General features: G+C 40.6%; 1 protein-coding gene across 5 annotated transcripts in view, besides 3 other annotated features; it reads right to left on the bottom strand.

Moving 5' to 3' along the window:
* The window catches only part of VSNL1 (visinin like 1), a 117,047-nt gene extending 104,684 nt beyond the window's left edge, over positions 1-12,363 (bottom strand). For 4 of the 5 annotated variants that reach the window (NM_001366804.2, NM_003385.5, NM_001366805.2 and 1 more), the window contains exon 1: positions 11,417-11,639. The gene's annotated coding sequence lies outside the window, so the exon portion shown is untranslated. Of the gene's footprint in view, positions 1-11,416; positions 11,640-12,152 lie in introns of those variants that run through there. The other variant, NM_001366803.2, reaches the window with a different exon arrangement.
* Positions 7,890-8,401: an enhancer, noted in NCBI's record as "OCT4-NANOG-H3K27ac hESC enhancer chr2:17725201-17725712 (GRCh37/hg19 assembly coordinates)". NCBI's record gives its function as "activates a minimal SCP1, AML or CMV promoter by ChIP-STARR-seq in primed H9 embryonic stem cells {active_cell/tissue: H9 hESC(primed)}" and the evidence as "EXISTENCE:reporter gene assay evidence [ECO:0000049][PMID:30033119]".
* Positions 8,402-8,913: an enhancer, noted in NCBI's record as "NANOG-H3K27ac hESC enhancer chr2:17724689-17725200 (GRCh37/hg19 assembly coordinates)". NCBI's record gives its function as "activates a minimal SCP1, AML or CMV promoter by ChIP-STARR-seq in primed H9 embryonic stem cells {active_cell/tissue: H9 hESC(primed)}" and the evidence as "EXISTENCE:reporter gene assay evidence [ECO:0000049][PMID:30033119]".
* Positions 13,215-13,334: an enhancer, noted in NCBI's record as "active region_15351". NCBI's record gives its function as "activates an Ori minimal core promoter by ATAC-STARR-seq in GM12878 lymphoblastoid cells {active_cell/tissue: GM12878}" and the evidence as "EXISTENCE:reporter gene assay evidence [ECO:0000049][PMID:35858748]".

Raw genomic sequence — 14,238 nt, 5'->3', positions numbered from 1 at the left:
ACAATTTCTCAGTCATAAAATGAAGCTAACCTTGCAGACACTTACCTCTAAAAGCTGTAAGTAATGAAGTAACGCGTGTAAGTATCCAACACAGAGCACTGTACGTGCTAAGTTTTTTTTTGTTTTTTTTTTTTTGAGATGGAATCTCGCTCTGTCGCCCAGGCTGGAGTGCAGTGGCGCAATCTCGACTCACTGCAAGCTCCGCCTCCCGGGTTCACGCCATTCTCCTGCCTCAGCCTCCCGAGTAGCTGGGACTACAGGCACCCGCCACCACGCCCTGCTAATTTTTTTGTATTTTTTAGGAGAGACGGGGTTTCACCGTGTTAGCCAGGATGGTCTCGATCTCCTGACCTCGTGATCCACCCGCCTCGGCCTCCCAAAGTGCTGGGATTACAGGGGTGAGCCACCACGCCTGGGCTTTTTTTTTTTTTTTTTTTTAACAAAATTGCTAGCTATTATTATTAGAAGGCATAAATGATTTCTGCTTTCATTTACTTGCTCTTGAGACCTAGCCTAGAGATAACTTTCAATATTCAGATTAATTCAATTTTGGCTAACAGCCAAAGATGAATGATATAGGTAAGCCTTCTAAGTACATGGTCTTCTACTGAGCACCTCTTTGGAAGAATGTCAGCTTTCCCAGTTTCTCCTATGCCATTGGTGACTTGGATCTAGATCACTTTCCCCTGTCCTCTTCCAGTTCTCATGGATTTCTTCTAATACCCATACCAGCAATTCTGGCCAAGGCCTCTTGTTTTAAGAATGAATCATATGCCATTTTTTATTATTCCTTGTATAGCCACTTTATCAAAGTATTGGCTACATTATTCTCTCATCACTGCTGCAAACATGCTCTATCATGCCTCCCTTCCCCATTCCAAGATGATATCTTGGGCTGATTTATATTTTTTCTGTCACTTGTAGGTACCAGAAAAGTGGTTGTTTCTAGATATTAAAAAGTTTAGTCTAATTTAAATATAAATTTCCACTATACCAATTCAGTCTTTCCTTAACTAGGATTTCAATCTAGCAGTGGGGAGAGGGGGTAATACGTTCTTTTGTCCTGCTGGCTTCCCTCTTGTATTACTTGCTCTGCTGTTTCTAGGGAGGGGGCAGAGAAGGGGACTATATAGGAAATGGACAAGGTCTTATTTGACTGGTGCCTGTGTAATCTGGCACTCTGTGAGTCAGATGCCCAAATGCTTTGCCATTATCCTGGGGTGTGTGAGGACTCTTTAACAACTCCTGACTGGGAAGTTCCAAACTCCACAATTTATTGATGGGTCAATGCACAGTTGACTTACTGCTCCACCTATTCTGCTGGCCTCAGTGGTACAGCTCTCCAAAGGGGACTTAGACATGTATCAGACATGATTTCTTCCCTCAAGAAATTTCCAGTTTTATGCGAGAGTTGGCATGTATACAGTGATTATGTGTTCAGATGTGCTAAGAGGACTGAGAAGCAACTTTTTGTTGCATTCCCTTAGGATGACTGGGTTAGGATATCTAAGTAAGGTTCAGATTTTCATAATCAGAACAGCTCTTGCAAAGTGATTTCCATAGTCCTTGAAGAGAACTCATCTCTGTTCATGAGTTCAAGAGCTTATCCAAGACAGAGTACCTGTGTTTGCATGCATATGTGGGTCTCTTTAGTTTCTCCTGTTGGTCTTACTGTCCTTACTCACATTATTTGGGTCTGTATATGCATGCTGATTCCTGGAAGGGAAGTCCCAGTTACTCTCATGGGCTTCTCTTAACCCCAGTAGGATGAAAATCTTATTTCCAAAGCTTCTTTGCTAGAGCAAACACGTGAGCTTGACTGTGGTTGCTTTTCTTTCCACAAGGGTCTCTTTGGAAGCCAAGACATGTTCACACCACTGAGAAATGGCTGTGGGCTCAAGTTCTACAACCAGAGCATGAGAAATCCAGAGGCAAATTTAAACGATACAGATGTGTCTCAAACCTTCCATAATTTAGGCTTTTCCTTCCAGATTATTTTACTTCAAAATCATTTTTTCAATTTAACTGTGAAGACCTAGTTATCATAGATCTATCATTCTTTCCCAGGACCTAGAGTAGGGGTGGGGAGAAGACAGGGGACATATTTTAGCAGATATAACCATAATATAATAATTTGCAGAAGATCAATAATTTGATTATAAATCACCTTTTTAAAATCTAAAATTCTAAAGTTGAATGATATGAACAATAAATTTTTTATTGTCACATGCTATTATGCAGTCTGTGAAGTATGCTCACAATATCTCGTAACTACAAAGGGTAGGTAATATCATAGTTATTCTCACATGAGGAAACTAAAACTCAGAGAAGTAAGTCTTCCACAGCTACACACTATGATGCCTAAAGCACAGGTGTGATGCCTAAAACACACATTTAATGACTACTAAGTTTGTGTACTTTCTATTACATAGTTCAGCTTTTGTCTTTCTAAAGCAGTTTTTCTAACTGAGTTCTTCAGAACAACAATGAAATGTTGATAAGTATATTTTCACATAAGTTTCCTGTACAAACAGGTTTGGAAATATACAATTAATCAAAGCTAAACAGATTCAGTGGTCTTTACCACAGGACCACTCAGACTTATTATTAACATGAAAATGAGCACTGGGAATATCGAAGAGTGGGATTTAGTAAGCATTTTTCCCCAAAGAAGTGTTTCAAAAAACTCTTTGTTTCTGTAAAGATATATTTCCAAAACGCTGATAGGTATTCTTACCACCAAATTTAAACCATCCTCCCTTTCAATTATGCACTTGATCTAGAATGAAGAAATTTCAATAGGCCTTCCTTTTTAATGCTGTCTTGTAAGTAATGATTTGTTATGAAGCTATTACTCTTAAATATTTTGCTTAAAACTATACAAAACAATCTATTACAGTACATTGAACATACTGTGTATATATCATGTATGTGTGTATGTATGTATCTATCTATCTGGATGTATGTGCATCTCTACCTCAGCCCTACCTTGAGTACCATTCTCTGCACTTGGTCAATCTGCATTAGTGCACACTTCTACAAACACTCAGCAAATGAAGGTTCTGATAGGCTAAACCTGATCTGAACATGTTCTGCAACATGTGTTGTGTGTATGGCCTCCCTCTTCTGCCATTTATTTGGTGTTATTTGAGAACCATTTATGTGATAAACAAAAGATATGCAAGTGATATCACCAGATCCTGCATAAGAGTTGAGGCATAGGCGTCTCCTGAAGTGTTTAACAGGTGCTCAGGGCACCTTGGGGGAAAAGGTAATGGAAAAAAGAGGATAAAAATCAGAAGATAATTAAGCACTGTCAGATGTCCTCTGACATTATTTATGAAGAGCACCACAGAATCACTGGAGTGGGAGAGGACTGTTCATCAACTGAACATTAGTCACTAGAGGCTCTGAAAAGTTTAGCAGAAGACATGTCTTAAACAAATGAAAGAGGTTTTCTAAACAGATGCAGGAACACAGGCCTAAGCTAGGGCATTGATTCAGTTAGCACACGCTTTCTAGGACTGCGCTCACCATGCTACCTGGGATATGTGTTATGTTACCTATTATTTAACTATGAGCCAATTAGGAAGATATACTTGGAAAAAATGCAGCAGGACACCTAGAACACTAGCCAAGGAGAAATGGTGAAATGTAACTGAGAAGGTGGTCAGAAAAGATAAGATGTGGGCAGGAAAGAAGATTGGGGTGTGCAGGGGGAGAAGGAATTATTTATATTCCAAGCTCTTTCAGGTGCTATATACACATCACTATATTAGGACTTCAACATTCATATAAGATAACTACATTATCCCTATTTTCACCAGTGAGAAAATAAACTCAAAAGATTAATTAGAACAATAACCCTACTCAATTCTATGAATCATCCAGGAGTTGTCCTATTATACAAAGAAACCTCAGAATTTAGGTGCAAGTTTTGTAGACTTCAAAAAGAGAAAAAGATGTCCTTTTTTATCTACAGATTAGAAATATGCCTGAAATTTCCTAGGAAATTGGGCAGGAAATAGAGGAAGAAGGGGGGAAAACCTGAAGGAAATTGAAAATGCTCTTTGAGGAGTTAAAAACAATAAGGTCACTTTGGATTTGATGTGTGTGGGGGTGGGGGAAATGTGGAGAGGGGCTAGAAACATTGTTTTTGGTTCAGTAGGAAAGAGCAGTTGGAAGGTATCTTTTCTTTATTGTAAAAGCCTGGGAGAAAAGAATGAAAGAGTAGCTCATAGGAGACTCTTCCCACAGACACACATTGAATGATTAGTCGCGAAATGGGTTGGAAAAATAGAGGAGGTGTGGGGAGAGTATCAGATAGAAATCCTGTTTTGGGAAAGTATTAAAAGATAGAAGTATCACAGTGTAATATTTAACCAAAAAAGCGGAGCTCCTGAAACGTTTTTTATTGAAGTTCAGTGATCAACTGTGAGTGCAGGTTGGGGGAGAAGGGAAACGTGTTATTTAGCTACACTGAACAGTAATTCATAGATAATAAAATATATCCAATAAGGAAATAAACTCAAAAATTTCCTTTCACTTCCATATTCTGGACTCAATTATATGCTGGCATTATATAGTAGGGTGATGATGATAAAGTAAAGGCATAATGGAAAGGGGATGCATTTAAAGAAGGAATAAGAGAAAATCTGAAGTCTTAGTGCAGGGATTTATTTCATTCTGAAATAATTCTGTGCATCCATACCACCTTTTCATTTCACTTGACTTAAAATTGCATTTATCTGTCTTCTCCATTAGGCATAAATTCTTGAAGGCTGGGATTGTATCTTACTTAATTTTGTTCTGCAGTGACTACACAGAGCTTGGCACACTTTCTCAATAAATCTAAGTTTTATAAGGTAGGGTAAGCACCGTAAACTGTTCACTATTTGATTCCTTATTTAGAAGTTGTGCAATGAACGGAGATTGCTTCAACTCAGTGACCAAAGTGGTTTATGAGCTATTGATTTCTGATTAAAGTGATGCTAATGATAAGGATAACTATTATTTATTGTACATTTTCAATAATAAGCCATTATATTCTTTACATATATAATCTTCTATTTTCTGTTCAAGAATCCTGTGAATTACTATTAGAAACTGAGGCTGAGAGTTTAAACAATTTATTCAAGGTCACAGAACTAATAAACTATGGCCCTGGGAATTTTTGTCTAAGTATTAATATACCTAGCTGAAGAACTTTATACTTCCTCTCATAATTTTCTCTGAGCCAACTGAAATCATGGTTAGAAGTTTCCCATTCACAAACTAAAAATGAGGAAAGACTAATAGTTTAGTGGTTTTCATCTCACTCAAGAATGAATACCTTTATAATCATTTAAAAGAATAACAATTTTATACATAGGATTTAAGTTTACTTCACAATTTCCTTTCATTTTTCATAAAATTTTTCATAAGAACAAGAAAGCAAAAAACATCAAGCACTTTATATAAAGTTACAGAAACTCTTGAACTTCTGGAATTAACAAAATTGATAGTCTTCCATTAACTCGTAACATCAAATGCCAAGAATTTCAGCAAACAGAACTTGCTAATTGAAAGTGAGCCTTGTGCAGCACTACTTGATACATTAAAAGCAAAATATTATATTAATAAGCATTTCAACTTTATTAATAATGCTTGATGGGTCTCCAACGGGACATTTTACTCAAAATTTAAAATTGGACTTCAAGAAATCAGAAATAAACACGCCAATCACAAATTACTAAAACCAATGCAAAATATAAAACACTAGTCTCCTGTAACACCAGCGTTTACTATTTCAAGAACTCTTGAACTGCAAAAAGATTCTAAAATATAAGATAACAGAAATATTAGGATCTGTTGATTTACATTAGAAAAAATTCACCCAGGTTTCAAAGTACGTTTAACATGTTAATGATTTGCCAAAAAAAACAAAAAACTATTTACATAAAGCTCCTCAAAAGTTCATAGTCTTTCAGAGCCTAAGAAATAATAAACAAAATCCAAAAAAAGGAGGAAAAAGTATACTTAAAAAGTGAGAGATTTCTATTTTCAGAAAAGTATTATATGGGCAGCAATGAATAGGATTCATTCTATGCATCGATAATAATTGCAGATAAATTTAACTGATTTGTTAACACTTTGCCTTTTATAAGCAATGCCTCATAAAAATAAAATCGTTTTTAAGTAAAAGAGATCTACTTTCTACAAAAAGTTCAGTAATTATTGTATTAGGTACATTGAGCTTGAAGACCACTTGGTGAATGAGAGTACTCCAAGTCTTAATTGTAATTTAGAACAAAAGGAAATAGAATGCTCACCTGGAAATAATCCAGTAAGTCCTTGGAATTACCATGCATTAAAAAAAAGAATAAACAATTGATGGTTACACAGCAGGTCGTCTGTGTTAGGACTGCAGTAAATTAAGTAAAGAGGTGGAGAAATCCAGAGAAAGTGTAAGAATTGTGAAAATTACCCAATCTGCATACTTTAAGTTAGCTGATAGGGGTATAGAACAGCTCTTGAACATATTCACAGGCACCTTATGATTAAAGTGTCAAACCTCTTTGAAGATTCCTCAGTAATTTACTATTCCATTTCTGTTTCATTCATTAAATAGTTTCTAAAGCATCCCCAAGACCCTTCCATTAGTAAAAGTTCTCAATGATTTAAGCTGGGAGCAACGCAAACTATTTTGATTCACTTAAGAGTGCATAAGTTACCTTTAGAAACAAACTGTAAATGAGAAATGCAATGATGTGGTCCCCTCACAGGGTGAACATGTTAAAATAATTCCATAGCTCAAGAGAGCATGATCTAAGTGGAGCACATAGCTACCACAGTCTAGATTTATATTCCCTCTTTTACTTATCAATATTCTTATTCTTGTAAATAGGTAAAAATACTTTATCTTTTTACTTATTAAGAGACAAAAAGGATAAACATGTAAATAGATTTTAAAGCACTCTTAGAGGTATTAATATAATGCTTTAATATCTTTACAAAAAATAAATCATAAAATAATTTTTTTGAGATAGGGTCTCTCTCTGTCATTCAAGTATAAAATAATTTTTAATCTAGTTTTTTTCGTTACTAACAAAGATACTTAAAGAAATGTTAATTGTGCACATGGTTTCAGTAGAAATTTAATTTTTGATATAATTAACAAGGTACATGCAACTGATTCTTATTAGAACAAATATTTAATTGACAAATATTGAGTTTCCACTATAAAAGACATTGTACAGATATTGTGGAAATATTTTAAAAGGTCATTAAAATCATTGCTTTTCCAGACAACGAATTCATATTGTAGGGGTGTCTTTAAGATAAAAAAATTTCCTGAAGATACTATTTTAAAAATGGATTGGAGGGATGGATTAGGTGACTTATATGGATCTTGTCCAGCTCATATGTTCTATTAGTCATATGAATTAACCATTGGGATAGTAAAACTATCAATCATTCTTTAATATATCTCTGTACCATTTGATACTTTAGGAAAATTAATGTTTATATTCACTATGCATAATGAAGATGGACACTGTCAGTTTAGATTAATTAAATGTGATCATTTCTGTGGAGAGAGCCTTCCTATTTTCCTAAATAATCACTAATTTTAGGAGCATAGAAATCACTCAAAACAAAGAAAAAGACCTTGAGAACAGTGAAAATATATTGCTGTTATCAATTAGGAAACCATATGTTTGATACTGATGCTGAACTGTTATTCTGTGAAACTCCCTAGGGAGCCTCTCCACAATGTTTGGAATTCATAACTACATGCAACCCAAATAGAAAATCTATAGCTTGCCCAAGACAATATTCCTGATGCTGTAATCCTATCACATGTGACTCACATGTAATGGGGAGGTGATTCACAGTGTAGTAAACCAAAGCGGGGCACTTAGCAACTACAAATCTCCGCATCTCTGCAAAGGCTATCTATCTGGTGTTCAGAATACCCTGGAATGGGTATTCTGCAAGGGTATATGAATGGGTATATCAGCAAGATCAGGTAACATCTAACTAACCCGAGAGCATTTGTTAGAAACAGACTCCATCCAAGACAGAGCTCATCCCAATTCTGTAAAGATTTACCAACAGAGGAGGGGTTAAATTAAATTGTTAATTGGTAAAGGTGTTGAGAAACTCACCACTTTGCTTCTTAAAAGCTTCAACAACTTCCAAGAGTAGTTACCTACTCTTTGAAATGAGAAAGAGATCCCAAGTGGGACTTCCTCTGGCCTTGCATTCCAATCATCAAGCTCCTCCTTTCCTAATGCCTCAGCTTTTTTCATGTAAGAATCCTTAGCATTTCCCCATTTGTGGTAGTTGTGAGTATCTTTCTGAGTGCCTGGGAGATTACATTTTTGGAGAAGAAACAGGAAGGCCCAGACTATATTTAGGAGGCATAGAATGTTATTGTATAGGCACTCAGAGAATTTTTATGGAAGAAAGGGAGAAAATGAGGAAGAAATGGAGAAAGCAAAAGAGGAAAAAAAGGAGAAAAAACAGGAGGAAGGTAGGAAGGCCAGTTAGGCGGGTCACCTTGTCTGCTTTGCAGCCCTCATCCAGCAAGATGAGAGCAGAAACTGCGAAAGAATAAAACAAAAGATCTGCCTGAGGAAAAGCTATGCAAATGCTTTAAAAGCTTTAAAGGATGAAAAAGCTGCACTACTCTCCTCTATAGCACAACTTCAGGTTAAACCAGTCAAGCCTTCTTCGGTCTTTCTGTCCCTTCCCTTTCCCTTCTCCGCAGGTGGCTTTATCTGGAGGATTTCCAGGAAGGCTGGAGACAGGCATCTCTAATTTGGGTTCTGCCTCCTAGGAGCCAGAGGTGAGCTGGCAAAGTCCACTCTGGAAACCCTGCAGCTTCCTCACTCCACGAAGTCCTAATCTCTGCAGCTGCAGTGGTTTTGGAGGAGGACAGATGGGGAGAAAAGTGGGAATGTAACTGCAGTGTCTTTGAAGGCTGGATTCCCTGAAGGATTTTGGGGAACACAGCAGGGAAAGATGGAAATGGGCCCTGGGCAGTTCTCAAACAGGAACTGCAGATTCTGATACGCTAGTGCTCCCGGCAAACGCCAAGGATTCCAAAGAAATTGTCTGAGATGCAGAGGAGGCCAGAAAAGCCAGACTAAACATCCAAAGAGGTGGGGATATTAGAGGTGAGGGGCAATAAAAAAGAGAGAGAAAGAGACCTTACAAGACAAAGAGAGGCAAGGAAGAGAAATGAGGTGGTATAAAAGGGACCCCTAGAGACAATTTCAAAAGATGTGCTGGAGAGCAGACAGTTATTTATTTGAAGTCTGCAGCAATGTCACTGAGACTGCTGAAAATGAAAGAGAGAAGGAAACATTTCCACTCAACATTACTTTTTAATTGTTTATTCCATAGACTAGAAGTTAATTGACTTTTCTCTACATCCATGGTTCTGGGCCTCAGTTTCCTCATCTACAAAGCAAGGGGTTTGGACTAGATACCTTACAGGGTCTCTGCCTAACTTGATCCTCTCTGTCAACCTATGAGCCAGGGACTCCAAGACCAAGCATTTATCAGTTTTGATACCTAATTCCCCCCTTTTTCCTCTACCACCCCTCTTTATCAATGCAGTGTCAACACCTGCACCATTCATCGAACTGATGCCAATGCTCAATGATGACAGGGAGTATGGCTCAATTATGACAAATGATTAGTCCTTCTGCCCTGGAGTAAGGAAAGAAGGAATAGACAAGGCAGTATGATTTATACTGTGGATTTCCAATGAGAGGTTCTTCTCGAATTTTCAATTACAAATTTCATCCATTTAAATAAATTATAAATTCCTTTGAGGGGTTCCAAATGGTTGGACTGATCAAAGGGCCAAAGAGCCCTATTTGATGGCCCCCACACCCGATTTGAGGGAAAATTTATTTCATTTCATCCCCAAAATTGGATTTGCTTATTTCGTGGAAATCCAGCACGCACTAGCCATGCTTTTTTCTCATCTTTCTGCCTCATGCCCATTCTGCCAACCTGCTTCAGTGCAGCATTTTCTGGGGTTATTAAATACCCAAGGCTTAATGAGAGTGCATTCAAAAGTAAGTTGTTCAATGATGTAGGATCACCCCCTACTCCCCCCCACCACACACACACAAACACACGTAGGCAGTTTAAATGATAGTGGGGGTAAAATGTGTTTTCACAAGAGTTTCATTTTAAATTTGTCTCAACCTGAAATTCCTTTAGAAATTAAAATAAATATTAATATGTAGAAATAAAACTCCCCAGCTTTTCTTGCCTTCAACTGGAAAGTGATACACAAATAGTATGTACTTAGTGTTCTCCACAACCACCAACAATTCTATTTTATTTTAGTTTCCAAAATACGGACAGGAGGGCAACTCTAGAAAAATGGATTCCCACTCTGGCATCTCACAGGGCACTGATCAGGCAATGCGGAGCACTCATCATTTCCACCATGCAGGGAGCATCAGCCTCTCCTCGCTCCTTCCACGTACACATTCTTGTACCCCTGAGGGTATTCATCATTCTGATTTCCACCCGGGGTTTGACCTTGCAAAGACCCTTCTTCCAGTTTCTGGGCAAGGAACAACCCATTTTAACTCAAAACACAAAACGACCTTTTATCCTTTAAAGAAATACTACCAAATGTAACACACCTTGATTTACATTTTTTAACCCCAGATTCCGGATGGCGAACACGGAATGCAAAGGCAGGTAACTAGTTTGGGTCTGACAGTCCCCATTCAGCGACCGAGCCTGTGACTCCGTTCAAAATCGACAGTGCAGTAGAGCATCTTTCCCTTTTCTGCCCATTCACCATTGTGACAAAAATCAAAGACGAAAAAAATTATCTACTCATTTCTGAATACTGAGAGAAATGTGCTCATTTTGCGCCTGACTCCGTGGATCTTAAACACTAACATCCCGCTCAGAGATCAACCATGATTTCCATACCAATCTCATCCACTCAGTTTTACTTAGCAAACACCTTTGCTGCCCTTCCACAGTGAGAAAAATGGTGCACCAATCCCACGGATGACAGGTTGCTACTCGACTGTACCCGCTCAATAGTTTTATCAGCAACCGGAAAACTTCACAATCGGTCAATTAGCTACTTAAATCTGTCTAAGACAAACTAAGAAAGCATCTCAGTTTCACCTGTCTTAAATCTAGTCTAAGACAATCCCCCAAACACGCCGCATATAAACACTCCCCCTTCCCCCACCCCCAATATTCCAAAAGATCCCCCATGGACTAAGAGCACATTCAGATCGCCAGCATTAAGCAAGGAAATTGTCCCCATGCATTTAGACGCATCTATGCAAAGCAAAGTATGTGACAATAGCCAAAGCATTTCTCTGACAGTTGGTTGCACTACACATGCAGAAATGCAACGAAGATTGTATTTTCCACTTACAGTTACAGCGCTGCGCACGGTCACTTAACGAAAATGATAAAACTCAACAGTTCTTTTTAAAAATATATATTTAATTCGGGTAAACGCTTAAGCCGTCTCTGTGTGTGGTTCTCTCTCGCTCTCTTTTTCTCTGGAGCTCTGGGCTGCTTAAATCCCTCTTGGATCGCGCCTTGCAAGCCCAGCCGCTGCCGCAACACGCTCGGGTAAATCTCTGCTGCAGATTGGGAATCCCATAGAAAACCTAGGGTCCCTGGAGCTGGATGCGCAGGCGCGCGAGCCTCCGCCTCTCCAGGCACCCCCTCCCCTTTCCTCTCTTCCCTCCCCCCAGCTCCGCAGCCCCAGCTAGGAGAACTCGGGAGCCTGTGACCAAAAGCCGCCTGGCGATGGCGCATGCTCAGTCGGAGGGGCTCGGAGTTTCCGCGGGTGGATTCCACGTCTCCAGATTTTAGCAAAAGCTCAAAAGGAAAGTATATAGGAAAAGGGAGTCCGGCTACCGGAGCAACCCGCACCTGGACGGGCGCGAGGGACTGCGGGTTACCCGGACTCGCCACGCCCAGTGGTTACCGAACCTGGGGGCTGAAGGCCGAGGCCAGAGATGGAACACGTGGAGCCGCTTTTCCCGCTGCTTTCTGTCCTAGCCGACCCCCGGCCCACCCTTTGTTAGGCTGTAAGGTGAAGGAGAAAACTGCAGAAATCTCCGAAAGAAGACTTCCCAGCAAGCTGTGAGCACGTCTACCTGGCTTACTGAAGGAACGGTTATGGTGGTCATTTTGTCATGGGCCATTTCATCAGAGGGTCTTCTGCTAGGAGTACTGGGAGCCGGGTCCTGCAGCACCCAGTGCCCCGGACAGTCTCGGTCCAGAACGGCGTTGAAAAAATGTGTGTTAAAGGGAGCTGGGATCCGAGGCTTCTTGCCCTGTGTACCCTGAGCCAAGCGCCTTCTGTATGCACTTAAGTGTTTTTAACATATGCTTTGCGTCTGGGGTGGGAGGGGGTGGGTGAAAGGGCGGGAATGAACCATTTTGCGAACCCACGTTTAAGGGCTCTGATTAGGCCATCTTATAAAGCCCCCTTTGTGTCCTTGAACAACTAACAGGTTTGCCAGCCCTCCCCCCGGCTCCCCATTGGCCTGCCAAAGCCTAGAAGGCTTGGCAAGGAGTAGTGCCCAATAAATGTTTGGTCGGTCGCTTCCCTACCAGAAAAGCAAGGAGAATTCCCAGATGTTCCCAACCAGACCAGTTTTCCTCAAGTGTGTATGTTGTACATGAACTCATTCAACAATTATTCATGGAAGCATTTGCAAAACTATTAGACATTCCTTTATGCTTTGGGAATAAGTGCGGTTAACAAAACCCCCTCCTGGGCTTTACATTCAGGTGGGAGTTTTATTTTCAAGGGAGGGAAGTTCTGGGGGCGAGATGAAGATCGAGGTTCTCCTTAAGCAGAGCGCTGTACAATTTGCACAGCGTCTTCACACACCTTATCATGTTCAGGAAAACTGTAGAGTTGACCTACCCTTCGGTGCTGGGGACACCAAGAGCGTCTCCCGTGGCAAATGAGCTCTAAATTGACAAATCTCCAGCTGCTCCTGGTTCCAAGTCGAGGAGTCCAGCTTTGAACAAACTTGAGACTACTTAAGTGGGCACCAGGAGAAACTCCGCCAGACAAGTCTGTGGCTGTCGACATGCTAAGTGAGGGCCTCAGGCAGTGATGCCTAAGCCTCATTCGCTGCCAACCTAGCCAGCCCAGAACCCAGGAACTGGCTTCCCGGGCAGGACGCCTCGGGAAGGTTGCGCAAAGGGGGAGCGCGCTCTCGGGACTCCCGGGACACCGCCCGCGGCTGTCCCCTCTCGGCAGGGCTCTTCCGCCAGTGCTGGTGACCGCGGAAACCCGGAGCGCGGAGTCGCGCGGACCACGGCGCGCGGCCCCGGCGGGCTGCGGCAGCCGAGCACGTTTAGAATCTGGCGGGCGCCAGCCCTTCGCTCTGGAGCCGCAGTGCGCACTGCGCTGCGGGGCTCCCGGGCGCGCCGGGCTGCTCCTGTTTCCTGGGACTGGCAGGGGGAGTCAGTCCTGAATAAGTCACTTTTTCTTTTTAGCTAGAAAAACGACTTTCAAAAGGCTTTCAAAATCTCGTCTTTGGTCGATTTCCCCTACTACAGCATTTTACGCTGAGTTCTAGTTTCTCTCTCGAGAACAGCCTCCGCACTGTAATCTGCATCAACCCAAAGGGTCATGATGCCATTTCTCCACTTCAACGAGATATACCTATTTATTGCACCCTGGAGGTCTCTTTCGTGGCGGTGTTCGATTTTAGATAACTTACTTGCAACTTGTGTTTAGGAAAAAATGTACACTGATACTTTAAACCATGCTCTGTTGTAGGGTACGATTGATATCGACGCGTGCGCTTTTGTAAAGTAGCTTTGTCTACGTGGGCGGGCAGATTTTTTAAAGTTCCATTTGCACTGCAGCGCTGTTTGCGTCCTAAATGCGATATTGTAATGTTTAATATCCAGCTATTATGTAGCTTTATCTTTTTCAGCTTCTAATATTTTGTTGCTGTTTAATTTTTTTGGCATGCCTTTTAGTCGAGTTGTATATACGAAGTCACAGTAAGAAAGCCAATTCTAAGACTCCTAAGGAATATTATCGTTTAAATTACAGAAGGCAAATCCCCTCTTTAGGATGGGAGAATGTACTTGAAGGGAGGAATGTGGCAGGGTCCCTCAGAAGTGAGGGAGCCCGCTGTTCCTCCTTCAGGCATTTGCGGATGGCACTGGTGATCACAAAAAAGCGGAGATTACGCTGCCGGGCGCTCCTGT

Source organism: Homo sapiens, chromosome 2 (genome assembly GCF_000001405.40).
Source record: "Homo sapiens chromosome 2, GRCh38.p14 Primary Assembly".
NCBI lineage: Eukaryota > Metazoa > Chordata > Mammalia > Primates > Hominidae > Homo > Homo sapiens.
This window is presented reverse-complemented; position numbering and strand designations above follow the sequence as displayed.